General features: G+C 38.8%; 1 protein-coding gene across 7 annotated transcripts in view; it reads left to right on the top strand.

The window, feature by feature from the left end:
- The window catches only part of RIGI (RNA sensor RIG-I), a 70,895-nt gene that overhangs the window by 24,604 nt on the left and 29,868 nt on the right, over positions 1–16,423 (top strand). For 2 of the 7 annotated variants that reach the window (NM_001385909.1, NM_014314.4), the window contains exons 2-10: positions 654–788; positions 7,651–7,832; positions 9,055–9,202; positions 10,173–10,292; positions 12,142–12,249; positions 12,706–12,859; positions 13,390–13,648; positions 13,960–14,122; positions 16,314–16,418. In NM_001385909.1, coding sequence (NP_001372838.1) covers positions 654–788; positions 7,651–7,832; positions 9,055–9,202; positions 10,173–10,292; positions 12,142–12,249; positions 12,706–12,859; positions 13,390–13,648; positions 13,960–14,122; positions 16,314–16,418 — 1,374 coding nt within the window. Of the gene's footprint in view, positions 1–653; positions 789–7,650; positions 7,833–9,041; positions 9,203–10,172; positions 10,293–12,141; positions 12,250–12,705; positions 12,860–13,389; positions 13,649–13,959; positions 14,123–16,313; positions 16,419–16,423 lie in introns of all 7 variants that reach the window. The other 5 variants (NM_001385913.1, NM_001385907.1, NM_001385914.1 and 2 more) reach the window with 5 other exon arrangements.

The raw sequence follows: 16,423 nt of genomic DNA, 5'->3' as shown, positions 1-16,423 counted from the left end.
CCACCAGCAGGTTGGTAGATAATTTTCTCCCAAAAGGACCATGGAAGTATCCCTTACTTCCTTCCTTCTCCTTTCTTTGTCCTATTTCAAGACAAGTTTTCACTCTGTTGTCCAGGCTGGAGTGCAGTGATGCCACCATAGCTTACGGGAACCTTGAACTCCTTGGTTCAAGTGATCCTCCCACCTCAGCCTCCAAAGTAGCTGAGACTACAGGTGTGAGCCACCACACCCAACTAATTAAAAAAATTTTTTTTTTTTTTTTTTTTTGTAGAGGCTGGGTGCAGTGGCTCACACCTGTAATCCCAGTACTTTGAGAGGCTGAGGGAGGAGGATAGTTTGAGGCCACCATGACTTCTCCCTTTTTGCAGGGAGATTTTTTTACACATCTTCAAGAAACTCCTTTTCTAGAATGTGTGCTCAGACCTCCACACCAAACTGTAGGTTTCCAGAGAGGATGGGAAGAGTGGCTTGGTGAAGAATGGGCACAGTCGGCCTGGGCAGAGGTTTTGCTGCTTCTCCAAAGATTCTTCCAATGCTGTGACTTGGTACAATTCCTGTCCCTATTTGGGAAGGTCTGGTGATCCTTTTCTGGTTTTTCTTCTAATGATTAATAGTTCTGCAGTTTGATGAGTCATTTTTGCTTCTGTTTGTAGAAGAGGTGCAGTATATTCAGGCTGAGAAAAACAACAAGGGCCCAATGGAGGCTGCCACACTTTTTCTCAAGTTCCTGTTGGAGCTCCAGGAGGAAGGCTGGTTCCGTGGCTTTTTGGATGCCCTAGACCATGCAGGTTAGTTCATTCTTTTTAATCACAAATCAGAGGATATTACTTTGCTGCTTGACAATACTGTAAAAGTGAAAAGCTATTAAATTTGAAGTATCCACTTATAGTTCATGCCTCTTAGTCTGAGACAATGTAAAGACTGTTTTTAGGCAGATGATATAATTGTCTACCTGAAACATCCAACAAAAGAATCTGCAGAGAGATTATTGTCACTAATGGAAGAGTTTAGCAAGATTATTTGGATATAAGACCAGTATACAAAAATTAGTTGCATTTCTGCCCAATGGAAGCAAACAAAAAATGTAATCCAAAATGAAGTATCATTTTTAATAATAACAATTGTAATGTATTTAGGAATAAATCTAACAAAAGATGTATAAGGTCTGAATGGAGAAAATGATAAAATGTTATTAAAAGATATTAAAGAAGTCCTAAATGGAAAAACATACCCATGCACATAGAGAAGGAGGCTTGAGATCATAAAAATATCAGTTCTCCCTACATTGATCTGTATATTCAATATAATTCTAATAAAAATCCTACATACTTTTTCAGTGAGTGTGGCAGGTTGATTCTACAATGTATATGGAAGAATTACGACCCAACAATAGTCAAGACACCCCTAAAGAAGACAAATTTAGTAGATTGGGGCTTTTCTTTCTACACGTTAGCATTTATTAGAAAGCTACAGGCATTGAGACAGTGAAATGTTGGTTTTGGCATTGACAAACTGACCATTGAAACAGAATAGAGACCCTCTAATTAGGACCATATCTTTATGGAAACCTGATATATTAGACATCACTGAGAAAAGAGGATTACTGGGAAAGGAGGAGCTATTCAAAAAATAGCATTTATAAACAGAATAATATTAAAAGCCGAACAAACTCAAGCTGGACATGGTGGCGTGTGCCTGTAGTCCCAGCCTCTCAGGAGGCTGAGGCAGGAGGACTGCTAGAGTCCAGGAGTTTGAGGCTGCAGTGAGCTATGATGGCGCTGCTGCACTCCAGCCTGGGCAACATAGGGAGACCCCTGTATTTAAAAAACAAACCCTGGGCCGGGTGTGGTGGCTCACACCTGTAATCCCAGCACTTTGGGAGGATGAGGCAGGCAGATTACCTGACGTCAGGAGTTTGAGAACAGCCTGGACAACTTGGCAAAACCCTGTCTTTACTAAAAATACAAAAATTAGCCAGGCGTGGTGGTGGGCACCTGTAATCCCAGCTACCCGGGAGGCTGAGGAAGGAGAATTGCTTGAACCCAGGAGGCAGAGGTTGCAGTGAGCTGAGATTGCGCCATTGCACTCCAGCTTGGGCAATGAGTGAAACTCCTTCTCAAATTTAAATAAATAAATAAATAAATAAACCCTGTATTTAAAAAACAAACGCTAACTTTTATGCCCATGTGGGTACGAATAAATAAATACATTTGTATTCCTTACATCATGTTTATCAAAAACACTATAAAGAAAGCAAAAAAAAAAAAAAAAAAAAACAAATCACAAACTCTGGGAGAAGATATTTTCAAAATGTATAATCACCAAAGGATTAGAATCTAGAATATATTAAAAAAAGTCTTAAAATCAACTGGAAAAAGAAAGAAAACATACATAGAGCAAAAAATTTGGACAAACATTTCAATGAATACGAAGAATGAAAAGTGAATAAATGTAAAAGATTCTCAGCCCAATTAGGAATTTGGGAATTGTAAATTAGGAACACAGTGAGATAACATTTTATAACTACTGAATAGCAAAACTGAAGTCCAACAGTGCTAAGGCTTAAAGAAGATATTTAATGGAAATCTTTTTTTTTTTTTTTTTTTTTTTGAGACAGAGTCTCGCTCTGTTGCCCAGGCTGGAGTGCAATGGCACGATCTTGGCTCACTGCAACCTCCGCCTCCCGGGTTCGAGCTATTTTCATGTCTCAGCCTCCTGAGTAGCTGGGATTACAGGTGGCCACCACCACATCTGGCTAATTATTGTATTTTTAGTAGAGATGGGGTTTTGCCACATTGGTCAGGTTGGCCTCCAACTCCTGACCTCAGGTGATCCACCTGCCTCAGCCTCCCAAAGTGTTGAGATTACAGGCATGAGCCACTGCACCCAGCTGGAATATGGTGGTTCTTAAGTTGGATAGTAGGTTCACATATGTTCCTTTTCTTGTTATACTCTTTATTATATATGTTGCAAATATTCTGGTACATGCATCAAATATTACATAATTTTTACATTTCTGTTTTCAGAGCTATGGTGTTTTCTATCAACAGAAGAATCATGAAGTTCATAAATTTGGAAAGGAGAGCTTTATTTTTCATAAAGGGTTGCAGTCTGCATGGTGGCCATTTTGACAGGCTGGGAAGTGTAGCCTCGGGCCAGAAGCAGGAAACAGGCACTTGGAGGGTGGGGAGAGTAAAACAGAGATTTATGCTGAATAGGGTGACCAAATATTCAGTAAGCTACAGGAGGAGTCATGAAAGTAGAAGCATGCACCTGGGCAGGTGAGCTTCATGCCTTTCTATGGGACCCATGTTCAAAAACTGGCAGTGTTAGCAAGATCCAAGGGTGGAGTTTTTGGCCCTCTGATGTCAGAAGGTGAAGCAGAGGACATGAAAACTCTCACTGCACATCCTTCATAGACTGGCCAGACCCACTCTGTGGTTGGTGGTCTCTTATCAGGAAGAAGTGCTGGTTGGTTGGTGTGTTGAAACTGCTAAAGGGAGGGGCAGTCAGGAGGTTGGTTGAAATCAGCAATGGAGCAAGTCTTTCCAAAGGGCTGGTTTCTGTTTCTCATCAGAGAAAGCACTGTTTCTCCACTTTGGGGATATGATTAATCTGGATATTATAAGTTATTTTAATCCTTACCAACCTGTCAGGTAAAAACAGTACTTTTAATTTTCATTTTAAAAATTGAATAAGGTTTAGTATTGGAAGTCCTAGCTGGAGCAGTTAGGCAAGAAAAAGAAAGACAAGGTATCCAAATTGGAAAGGAAGAAGGAAAATAATCTGTTTGCAGATGGCAGAATTATTTATTTATTTATTTATTCATTCATTCATTTTTTGAGACGGAGTCTCGCTCTGTCGCCCAGGCTGGATGGAGTGCAGTGGCGCAATCTCGGCTCACTGCAAGCTCCGCCTCCTGGGTTCATGCCATTCTCCTGCCTCAGCCTCCCGAGTAGCTGGGACTACAGGTGCTCGCCGCCATGCCTGGCTAATTTTTTGTATTTTTAGTAGAGACGGGGTTTCACCGTGTTAACCAGGATGGTCTCAATCTCCTGACCTTGTGATCCGCCTGCCTCGGCCTCCCAAAGTGCTTGGATTACAGGCGTGAGCCACTGCGCCCAGCCGATGGCAGAATCTTATATGTAGAAAACCCTAAAGATTTTAGAAAAAACTATTAGAACTAATTCAGAAAAGTTTCAGGACACAAAATCAACACCTCAAAATTAGTCGCATGTCTATATATTAACAAATAATCCAAAAAAGAAATTAAGGTAACAATTCCATTTATAATAGCATTAAAAAGATTAAAATACTTAGGAAGAAACCTAACCAAGGAGATAAAAGACTCATACCCTGGAAACAACAAAACATTGCTGAAAGAATGAAAGATAACACAAATAAATGGAAAGACATCCCCATTCATGAATTAAAGACTTAAGTTGCCTATACTACCAAAAGCGAACTGCAGATTCAATGCAATCCCTATCAAAATCGCAATGGCATTTTTTTTGTAGAAATAGAAAAAATTATCCAAAATTTATAGAGAATCTCAAGGCATCTTGAATAGGTAAAATTTTGATAATGAAGAATAAACCAGGAGGCCTCACCTCTCCTAATTTCAAAACACATTACACATCTGTAGCAATCAAAATGATGTGGCACTGCCATAAAGACAGACAAATAGGCCAAAAGAGCACCCAGAAATAAATTCTCAAGTATATGCTCAAAGATACCAAGACCACTCAATGGGGAAAGGACAGTCTCTTCAGCAAATGTTGTTGGGAAAACTGGATATCCATATGCAAAAGAATGAATTTTGACACTTATACCATGTATTAGAGTTCTCCAGAGAAACAAAAGCAATAGGATATATTTATGTGTGTGTACATATGATGGGATATGTATACACATTGTTACTTACATGTATGTGTATATATATTTTTGGAATTGGCTCACATGATTGTGGAGGCTGAGATGTCCCATGATCTGCTGTCCACAATCTGGAGAATCAGAAGAGCAGTTGGTGTAATTCAGAGTCTGAAGGCCTGAGAACCAGGACCTCTGATGTCCAAGGGCAAAAGAAATGATGAGCTCAAGAAAAGAGAATTTGCCCTTCTTCTCCCTTTTTGTTCTGTTTTGGTCTTTAATGGATTGGATGATGTCTGCACACATCAGTGAGGGTGAATTTCTTTATTCAGTCTGATTCAAATGATAATCTGTTCTGAAAACACCCTTACAGACACACCCAAAAGTAATGTTTTACCAGCTATCTGGGCATCCCTAAGCCCAGTCAAGTTGACACAGAAAATTAACCATCACACACTATATACAAAATCAAATCAAAATGCATTAAAGAGCAAATATAAGACCTAAAACTATTAAAACTCCTAGAAGAAAGCATAGGGGAAAAACTTCATGACACTGGAATTGGCAGTGATTTCTTGGACATGATATCAGAAGCATAAGCAACAAAAGTGAAAAAATAGACAAATGGGACTATATGAAACTTATGTGCCTCAAAGGACATAATAGGGTGAAAAGTCAACCCATGGAATGAGAGAAAATGTTTGCAAATCATATACCTGATAAGGGGTTAATATGTAGACTATATCAAGAACTCCTGCAACTCAAAGACAAAAAATCAAATTAAAAAATAGGCAATCCCAGCACTTTGGGAGGCTGAGGCAGGTGGATCACCTGAGGTCAGGAGTTCAAGACCAGCCTGGCCAACATGGCAAAACCCTGTCTCTACTAAAAGTACACATAGCTGGGCGTGGTGTCACACGCCTGTAGTCCCAGCTACTCGGGAGGCTGTGGCAGGAGAATTGCTTGAACCCAGGAGGTGGATGTTGCAGTGAGCAGAGATCATGCCACTGCACTCCAGCCTGGGTGACAGAGCGAGACTCCATCTCAAAAAAAAAAAAAAAAAAGGCAAAGGACTTGAATAGACATTTATCCAAATATGATATACAAATGGCTAATGAGCATATGGAAAGATATTCAACATCAGTAATCATCAGAGAAATTCAAAGCCATAATGCAATATCACCTCACCCCCATTACAATGGCTTCTATAAAAACAAAAACAAAGCTGGGCACAGTGGCTCATGCCTGTAATCCCAGCACTTTGGAAGGCCGAGGCGGGTGGATCGTGAGGTCAGGAGTTCAAGACCAGCCTGGCCAAGATGGTGAAACCCCATCTCTACTAAAAAATACAAAAATTAGCTGGGTGCGGTGGCGGGTGCCTGTAATCCCAGCTACTCAGGAGGCTGAGGCAGGAGAATTGCTTGAACCCGGGAGGCAGAGTTTGCAGTGAGCCGAGATCGTGCCACTGCACTCTAGCCTGGGTGACAGAGCAAGACTCTGCCTCAAAAAATAAAATAAAATAAAAACAGAAAATAATGCATATAGGTGAGGATGTGGAGAAACTGCAACCCTGTGCCTGATTGGTAGGATTGTAAAATGGTGTTAACAGCCATGGAAAACAGTATGGCAGTCCCTCAAAAAATTGAAAATATATATCACCATATGATCCAGCAATTCTGCTTCTGGTGTATTTCCAAAAGAATTGAAAGCAAGGTATTGATGAGATATTTGCACATCCATGTTGATAGTAGCATTATTCGTGATAGCTTACAAGGTAGAAGCAACTCAAATGTCCATCAGTGATGAATGGATCAACAAAATGTGATATACACATACAATGGAATATTATTCAGCCTTAAAAAAAAAAGGAAATCCTGGCACATCCTGCAAAATGGACATACATTGAGGGTGCTGTGCTGAGTGAAATAAGCCAGTCACAAAAAGACAAATATTGTATTTTGCCACCTATATAGATTATCTAAAGTAGTCAGATTCATAGAAACAGAAAGAGTGGTGGTTACCAGGAGCAGGGGTGAGGAGAGAAAAAGGAATAGTTGTTTCATAGAGTTTTAGATTTGCAAGGTGAAAAAGGTCTGGATTTTTTTTTTATAACAAAATGAATTTAACACGACTGAACTGTACATTTAAAAATAGTTAAGATGGTAAATGTTTTATCTGTTTTTTACTACAATTTTAAAAAAGAATGAGGTTGAACATCTTATGTATGTTTCTTGGCCATTAGTATTTTTCTCTGAACTTTCTAAATATGATTTTTAAATAAATATCTTTTAAAGGCATGTAGAATAATATTAAGTAAATTTCCCATTTACTTAATATTATCTTAGAAAAATTAGAAGGAAAGTTCCTTGTGGGCAGGAATTAAGGTTTATATTTCTTTTTGCCTTCTTTACTGCTTTCCACTGAGAAGATACTTAATAAACCTGTTGACTCTGACTTTTTAAAGACAAATCAGGGATTGTAGGTGAAGTCTATGAGTCACTTTGGAAGAAAGATTTTATACTAAGATCAAAATGTAAGACTTCAAAGTTTTCCTTAGTACTTTTTCCCAATAGATAATAAATATTGCTAGAAGACCTAAAGTGTTGGCTGACTAAAATGAATACTGTTTTCTTTTTGAAAAATCAATGACAATTGGGGGTAATTTACAGATATTTTTTGAATTCTACCACCATACATTCAAACATGATTTCTATGATACTAATCTCAAAGTATTTTTCAGTTGGTTTCATAAAAGTCCACATTTTTTTTCTTTTTTTTCAGGTTATTCTGGACTTTATGAAGCCATTGAAAGTTGGGATTTCAAAAAAATTGAAAAGTTGGAGGAGTATAGATTACTTTTAAAACGTTTACAACCAGAATTTAAAACCAGAATTATCCCAACCGATATCATTTCTGATCTGTCTGAATGTTTAATTAATCAGGAATGTGAAGAAATTCTACAGGTAAGTTAATATAAAATACTAAAATTGGGGGAAATAATTATAACATGGGAAGGTCTTCTGTTTTCTATACTGTTTTAGACCTGAGAAAGATCATTGAAACCCACAAAAGTACTCATAGAATAGTACTTTTTTTTTTTTGAGACGGAGTCTCGCTCTGTCGCCCAGGCTGGAGTGCAATGGTGTGATCTCGGCTCATTGCAACCTCCGCCTCCTGAGTTCAACCAATTCTCCTGCCTCGCCTCTCGAGTAGCTGGGATTACAGGTGCGTGCTACCATGCCCAGCTAATTTTTGTATTTTTAGTAGAGATGGGGTTTCACCATGTTGGTCAGGCTGGTCTCGAACTCCTGACCTCGTGATCCACCCGCCTTGGCCTCTCAAAGTGCTGGGATTACAGGCGTGAGCCACCGTGCTCAGCCAGAATAGTACTTTTAATGTGAACTGAGTAATTTTTATGTCACAAAGTTTTTTTGAAGTTTGCCCTATTTTCAGTTAAAATCACCACAGTCTGTGAATAGTATTTTATGCAAATTTAAATTGAACAGTTGAGCAAATGAGAAAGGGCTACAGACTCTAGCAGTTAAGTGTTTAGACTCTGGACACAGATGAATTTTGTTAGAATCATAGCTCAACCACTAGCGGTATGATCTTGGGCAAGTTACTTAGTTTCTCTGAATATCTATCTGTTTCCTTGTGTGTAAAATGGAAATAATAATGTTACCTTATAATATGGTATTTTCATAAGGGTAATGAGATAATATATGTAAAGTACTCATGTATGTCTTGCACAGAGTATGTGTACAATAAACTTTAGTTATTATGGTTAGTAAAAGTCATACAAATTCCTCAACCCTGAAGAAAAATTTGTTAATATTTTGTTATCTGTTTCCAAATATTGCTATATGCCAATATACCCATATTGGGAATGGTTGTCAAATGATTATTTTCTTAATATTGCTGATGAGGATAGGTATAAGAACTTAGAGGTGATGAGAAGGCTTGGCTTGACATAGTGACATCATGTGTAAAGGACAAAGATGAAGGAAAAAGTATCTTAAAAGACTGTGTTGGATGGGGCAAAAATTGTCATGGATATGACCCACTGAGCTGTAATGTACAATGGCTTTAAATCAGATAGTACATGACTGACATTTCTTCAGTAAAAATTGATAAAGGGAAAACTTTTGAGATAATTGATCAATAAACTACAGTTACCTTGCTTAGATTTGCTCTACTAAGGGGATGATGGCAGGTGCAGAGAAATTGGTGGAATGCCTTCTCAGATCAGACAAGGAAAACTGGCCCAAAACTTTGAAACTTGCTTTGGAGAAAGAAAGGAACAAGTTCAGTGAACTGTGGATTGTAGAGAAAGGTAAGACACTGTACCCTCCTCACAGCTCTACTTAGGACTCGCTCATTCCAACCGGTCTTTTACATCCCATCAGAGGCGTTTTTCCCCTCAGATAGCCAGAGCTACATCTCTAACGCGAGACCAGCAGGAAGCTGGATTCTGGGAGGGAGGCAGTTACTTGCCTACAAAATTAGTTTGGTTGCATATAACCCCTAAAAATGGACTGGGGAAAACCACTCTCATCCAGAATTAGCCCATCTGGCCCAAAGGATTTGAGGAAGGCAAAATCCGAACTCTCAGTCTAAGTTTAGATTATCAGAGAAATAGCTTGAGAATTCTAGAGTTAAAGGTTCAAACTCCAGGACTTACCCCCTTTTCAGAGTTGATTTCTTGACAGACATTGCCTGGTTCTCTTACTGGAAGCCATCTGGAACTGAATCCGACGGGTGAAAGAATTGGTTGTCATTAAGTGTCTGAACTATCATTTGGTTTCTTGAAGCTGACACTCAGCATTGTTTCAAAGGCTGAGTTTGGTAAACATCTGAATATCTGGTCTTAGCTTTCCTAGGCTTCTTTAGATCATAAGTTGTTTCAGAAACTGTATAAATACACATCTGATTTAATGGGTCAAGAGTCAGTCAGAAAAGGAAGACATGAATGTCTGCTAAATCATGCTCTTTTTTTTTTTTTTTTTTTTTGGTGCATACGAATCCCTCCGAGGTCTTGTTAAAATGTGGATTCTGATTCAGTAGGGCAATACGTTCCACACTTTGAGTAATATAGCTCTAAATTACATTGGAGGTCAACGCCAAATTGAGATTTTAAACTCAAAATGATTCTTTCAACTGTTTTAAAAGGTGAAGGGGAGTGGTTGTGAGAAATTTTAATAGAAGTTAAAAATCTTAGTGTTATGACCATTTTGTGGAGCTTTCACCATCAAAACTATAATCAGATTATGTGAAGATTCTAAGACTTTTTTGGTCTTAAAAAGGTATAAAAGATGTTGAAACAGAAGATCTTGAGGATAAGATGGAAACTTCTGACATACAGATTTTCTACCAAGAAGATCCAGAATGCCAGAATCTTAGTGAGAATTCATGTCCACCTTCAGGTACCTGGTATTGTTTGTCCTTTTCCATAATGGTGCTCTTCTGGTATTTGGTGTGGGGGCTTGTTTTGCAGTACCCAAAGTCACAGCCTTGTGAAAAGTTTTGTAAGGAAAATTAAGAAAGTAAAGAGAATTTATGTTACAATAGATACTTTTTCTATATTTAGAATGCCATTCTCTCCTAGTTCTTCCACTATCTTTTTTTCTTCTTTTACTATCTTTTTTTTCTTCTTCTACCACTAAGAAAGTATGGGCGTGTCTATATTGGAAATGCAAATAGAGTCTTCACCAAAACCCAATGTCTATGAATTCCCAAATCAACCTTGCTTTCTAAATAAATACTACTTCTATTTCTGAGTCACTTGCTCAATTTCCTTTTAGGATCCCTGGGCTGCCCTGCAAGTTGATGAAGTTAGTGTGCTACCCAAATGCGCCTGGCTGAGAGGTTGAGTAGGGGCTGAGATCCAGCCTGTGTCGTTTGCAACACAGTGCACTGAGGGGCTGTGTCCTCCAAGAGGAGCTCCCTTTTGTCATTTACACAAAGGCACTGTATAAGTTAGCTGTGGCCCTGTGAGGCCCCCTTATGCTTCTCAAAGCATATTTTCTTGATGGTTTTATGAGACCGGCAAGTTGCATAATATGCCATAATAAAAAGTTATGTATAAAAGAGTATCAGGAAGGAAATTGGGATTAATAGTGGTGGTAGAAGAAAAATGATATTAGAATAACATCATAAAGAGAAAATGTGCAGATTACGTCTGCAACTGAATGTTACAAGTTTTTTTGTTTTGTTTTGTTTTTTTGGTCATTTCAGAATAAAATCTGTTACCCCTTGGAAAAAAAAAACAGATACATGAATATGAGTTGCTTTAAATTTTCTGACACGTGAAGATTCTTGCATGCCTTTTGTTGTTGTTGTTGTTATTGTTTTTTGAGACTGAGTCTCTCGCTCTGTTGCTCAGGCTGGCGTGCAGTGGCACAATCTCAGCTCACTGCAACCTTGGGTTCAAGTGATTCTCCTGCCTCAGTCTCCCAAGTAGCTGGGACCACAGGCATGTGCCACCACATCTGGTTAATTTTTGTATTTTTTTTGGAGAGGTGGGGATTTCAGCATGTCGGCCAGGCTGTTCTTGAACTCCTGACCTCAAGTGATCCATCCACCTCAGCCTCCCAAGTGCTGGGATTACAGGCATGAGCCACTGCACCTGGCCTTTACATGTCTTTCGTGTGAGTTTAATTCACTTAACCTTTTAGAAATTCTCCCTTTCTCTAAAATGGGTAGGTTAGACTCAGTAGATAATTTCCAAAGTCTTTGCTAGCTCTTAATGATTTATATGCCTACCTGTTATTGAGATAAAGCCTTTGATTATTTTTTAAAACTTCTGGTTATGTTGAGAGAAAATATCATTTGAGAACTTGAAGAACGACAAAGCATTATTGCTCCTTAATAAGAAATTGCTTTGAGAATCCAATGTTAACAGTTTGGTTTTCTTCAAAGATCGTGGGAGGATTTGTTGCTTTTTTCACATACAGCATTGCCTTTAGTAGACAGCTTGTCTTACCCTGAATGGGGCCATTCTTTCTTTGGTTTCTGTTAGCCTTCCATGATTGTATAAAAAATAATTCATGTTTTTTTTTTTTTCTTTCTTGCCATCAATACTTTGTCACTGAGAGAATTCTGTACTTCAAATTAGTGGAAAAGCTAGAATGGTTACCAAGAGAAAGGATTCTAAACTTTCTCCAATGAGGATCTTCTTGCTGGAGTCAGAATTTGTGGACATTAGACTGTAGCTATTGCCGTGATTCCTCAGAGCAGGAACTGTTTGGTAATTTTGCTCCTTTTGTATTCCAGAAGTGTCTGATACAAACTTGTACAGCCCATTTAAACCAAGAAATTACCAATTAGAGCTTGCTTTGCCTGCTATGAAAGGAAAAAACACAATAATATGTGCTCCTACAGGTAAGCCTATTGCCATTACTTACATAGTTTTTCTGTTTGCTTCCTTTTTTTTCTTTTGTTGAATACTGGGACAGAATGGGCAAGTTTCAGTTTTTTCCTTGTTCCATGTGTCTTTTGAGAAAACTGTCCTAATATAATCCTAATGTTTTTTATGGGATTATGTAATTAATTAATTATGTACATTAATGTATTTAATGTATTTTCTTTACCTTTCATGAGAAGGTAAAGAAAAGTGTCCTCTTTTAGCTTGCTTTTGGGTCCTGGCTGTTGGCATGCTACTTAGGGAGCAGCTTGATATTTTTTAGTCATAGTGTAAATTCTGTAATCATTAACATATTTAAATTATCAATTAATTAGTCAGCTCAGTGGTATTAGAAGAGCCAAAAATAAACACCTTTCCAGAGAAATATCTAATATATGAGTTACATGTTTTCTTTTTTCCTTACATGTTAAAAGGTTGTGGAAAAACCTTTGTTTCACTGCTTATATGTGAACATCATCTTAAAAAATTCCCACAAGGACAAAAGGGGAAAGTTGTCTTTTTTGCGAATCAGATCCCAGTGTATGAACAGCAGAAATCTGTATTCTCAAAATACTTTGAAAGACATGGGTAGGTATAATAGTTGCTTCAACTTCTTTTTCTCCAGCTTCATGTAATTGATGTGTTTTCTGTTTTGTTTTTGACAAATGATTTAAAAAAATTTATATTAGATTCAGCTTTTTTATAATCCAGATGTTATCCCTTCATGGATTCAAGTCTTTTTTGTTAGATGTACCAGAAAACTTAAACTCCCCTGGTTTGCCCTTCTATGGGGAGTAAATGACTTCAGGAATAAATTTGATGTTTACGTGGCACATTTAACTTCTTTAGTGATTTTATAATTTATTTGATATTATTCTTTTACGTACTCTTTTCTCTCTTAGTGACTTAAAATAATATATAGTACTATAAATTACAACTAGCTTGGATTTATTGATCTCTTACTATGTGTCAGGCTCTGTGCTAAGGACTTGCCTACAGCTATTCTTCTTTTGGACTCAGGGAGAATTTAATCAGTTGATGTTCTGATCTAGCATTTCATCTTTGTGGTTCCTTATCCACATCGTGGTTAGTAATATGGAATTTCTGTCATTTCCCAGGTATAGAGTTACAGGCATTTCTGGAGCAACAGCTGAGAATGTCCCAGTGGAACAGATTGTTGAGAACAATGACATCATCATTTTAACTCCACAGATTCTTGTGAACAACCTTAAAAAGGGAACGATTCCATCACTATCCATCTTTACTTTGATGATATTTGATGAATGCCACAACACTAGTAAACAACACCCGTACAATATGATCATGTTTAATTATCTAGATCAGAAACTTGGAGGATCTTCAGGCCCACTGCCCCAGGTATCTCCAAAGTCAGACGAATGCTTCAGAAGAGCTATAATCTTCCTAACTCCTATTTTCTTACTCTTATGGCCACACTGAAGATGTCCTTCTCAGGTCCCAAGTCCATATTGTACAACTCATTATGAATTTTGTTTCCTTTATTCATTTGTTCACTTAGTAAATATGCATTATGTGCCTCCATGTGCCATACACTGTGTGTTAGTAAAAACAAAAAAACGCCCTACCCCAGCAGGAAAGAGTTATATGAGGGGTTGTGGAAACATTGTACCATTTCTCAGACATCTAATGATTTTGAATGCTCCTTACAGGTCATTGGGCTGACTGCCTCGGTTGGTGTTGGGGATGCCAAAAACACAGATGAAGCCTTGGATTATATCTGCAAGCTGTGTGCTTCTCTTGATGCGTCAGTGATAGCAACAGTCAAACACAATCTGGAGGAACTGGAGCAAGTTGTTTATAAGCCCCAGAAGTGTAAGTTGGATCCAATAACAAGCCTTTGAGATTCTGTTACTCTCTACTACCTCTAGTTCAGAGCCATCTAGACGAATACTGAACTTTGACCCTCTCTCTGTTTAGTAGAAAATATTTAACCTTGAACTTGAGTAACAGTCACATTTTTTAGCCTCTCTAACTGAGCTCTCATCCCAAGCAATGGATGAACCTCAGAAGTGGCCTGTAGAGAGCAAACATTCTTCCTCTTTGCTTCCAAAAACCTCTTATAAATGTACTAGCAATGCAAAAGAGGTGATGAGAGAATTTAGGCATCAGATAGCCAAGAGCTGGGCTCACTCAGCCTTTTCCCATGCTCTGTGCCTGTGTGGTCATCACTGTTTGAATATGTATTTGATCATTTTAGTTGAAATGGAATGATCTGAATTCATGATGTCACTCCTCCAAAGATCAGATATGATTTTTTAATATGACTAACAGTTGTTTATTGATGTTATTATTACACTAACCCTGAAAGGAAGAGAGGGATACAGAAAATATATATGACTTCACCCTTGCTCTCTGAGTAGTATGTGACTGTATTTCTGAGGTAGAACAAATAGACATGTAATAGGGAGTGGTGTAGATAAGTTCCTTTTTGAAGGCTGCTTGTAAGTAAGGATTTTGATGTACCTGATCCCAACTTTTCAGTGTCACATATGAATTTCTTTACAATCCGGTTCCTCCTGCCCTCTGAGCTTCATCACCTCCAAACATTCATAAACCCAACCATGTTGCATTCCTCTGGGCTCCTCAATCATGCCGTGTGCTTTCTCTCTCCCACCTTTTGTCTGTGCTTCCTTTGTACATCACTGCTCTTTTTTTTTTTTCTTTTTCTTTGCCAAGTTGTGATGGAATATACATGACTACTCTTGCTTTCTTCTTTCTTCTTCCTGTATTTATTCTACAACTCTGACTTCCCTGGAAGAATTAGGTGTTACTTTCCCTGTGTTTTGTGACACTTTGCGTGTACTACTTCTTTTTTTTTTTTTTTTTTTTGAGACAGAGTCTCGTGCTGTTGCCCAGGCTGGAGTGCAGTGGTGCGATCTCGGCTCACTGCAAACCTCCACCTCCTGGGTTCAAGTGATTCTCCTGCCTCAGTCTCCTGAGTAGCTGGAATTACAAGCGTGTGCCATCACGCCTGGCTAATTTTTTGTATTTTTAGTACAGACAGGGTTTCACCATGTTGGCCAGGCTGGTCTTGAATTCCTGACCTCAAGTGATCCACCCTCCTCGGCCTCCCAAAGTGTTAGGATTACAGGTGTGAGCCACCACACCCGGCTACACTTTACATGTACTTCTGTTAGAGAACTGCTACGGTTAGTTAGCCATGTATATTTCTCTCCCTTAAGATCACAGCCCTGTATGGAGCATGAAGTGTGTTCTTTCAACTGTCTATAATCAAAGCATGGCACATTGCAGGCAATTAATAATTAGGCTGAAATAATATATTGATAAATGGTAGGATCAGTGTGAATACTGCTGGGAGCTGTGTGGGGAGGGAGAATATCAAAGCACAGAGACAGGGTTAGATTGTGGCACTTGCAGAGACATGAGAGATGCCCGCCTCATCAGAGAGGAGGTAACAGGACAGCCACAGTAAGAAGCTGGTTAGGCCGGGTGCGGTGGATCACGCTTGTAATCCCAGCACTTTGGGAGGCCAAGGCGGGTGGGTCACCAGCTCAGGAGTTCGAGACCAGCCTGGCCAATATGGTGAAGCCCCGTCTCTACTAAAAATACAAAAATTAGCTGGGCATGGTGGTGTGCGCCTGTTGTCCCAGCTACTTGGGAGGCTGAGGCAGAAGAATCACTTGAACCTGGGAGACGGAGGTTGCAGTGAGCCGAGATCGCGCCACTGTACTCCAGCCTGGGTGACACAGTGAGACTTGGTCTCAATCAAAAAAAAAAAAAAAAAAAAAAAGAAGCTAGTTAGACCTACACCATGAAAGACAGGTGTTAGAATCAGTACAAGAAGCAACAGGGAGCCATTGCATTTTGAGCATTTGTTGTATCATCTGGACCACCTGCCAGTTAGCCTGGAACCTTAGGTTTTTCAGAGGAAGTATCAAAGGCAGAGAAAGGTTTTAGAGATACCTACTTTGAACTACAATCTGTCCTTCCTGAAAATATACTCACTCTTTTTTTCTTTTTCTTTTTTTTTTGACGTCTCTAGTTTTCAGGAAAGTGGAATCACGGATTAGCGACAAATTTAAATACATCATAGCTCAGCTGATGAGGGACACAGAGAGTCTGGCAAAGAGAATCTGCAAAGACCTCGGTGAG

This window comes from Homo sapiens, chromosome 9 (genome assembly GCF_000001405.40).
Source record: "Homo sapiens chromosome 9, GRCh38.p14 Primary Assembly".
In the NCBI taxonomy this organism is placed as follows: Eukaryota; Metazoa; Chordata; class Mammalia; order Primates; family Hominidae; genus Homo; species Homo sapiens.
This window is presented reverse-complemented; position numbering and strand designations above follow the sequence as displayed.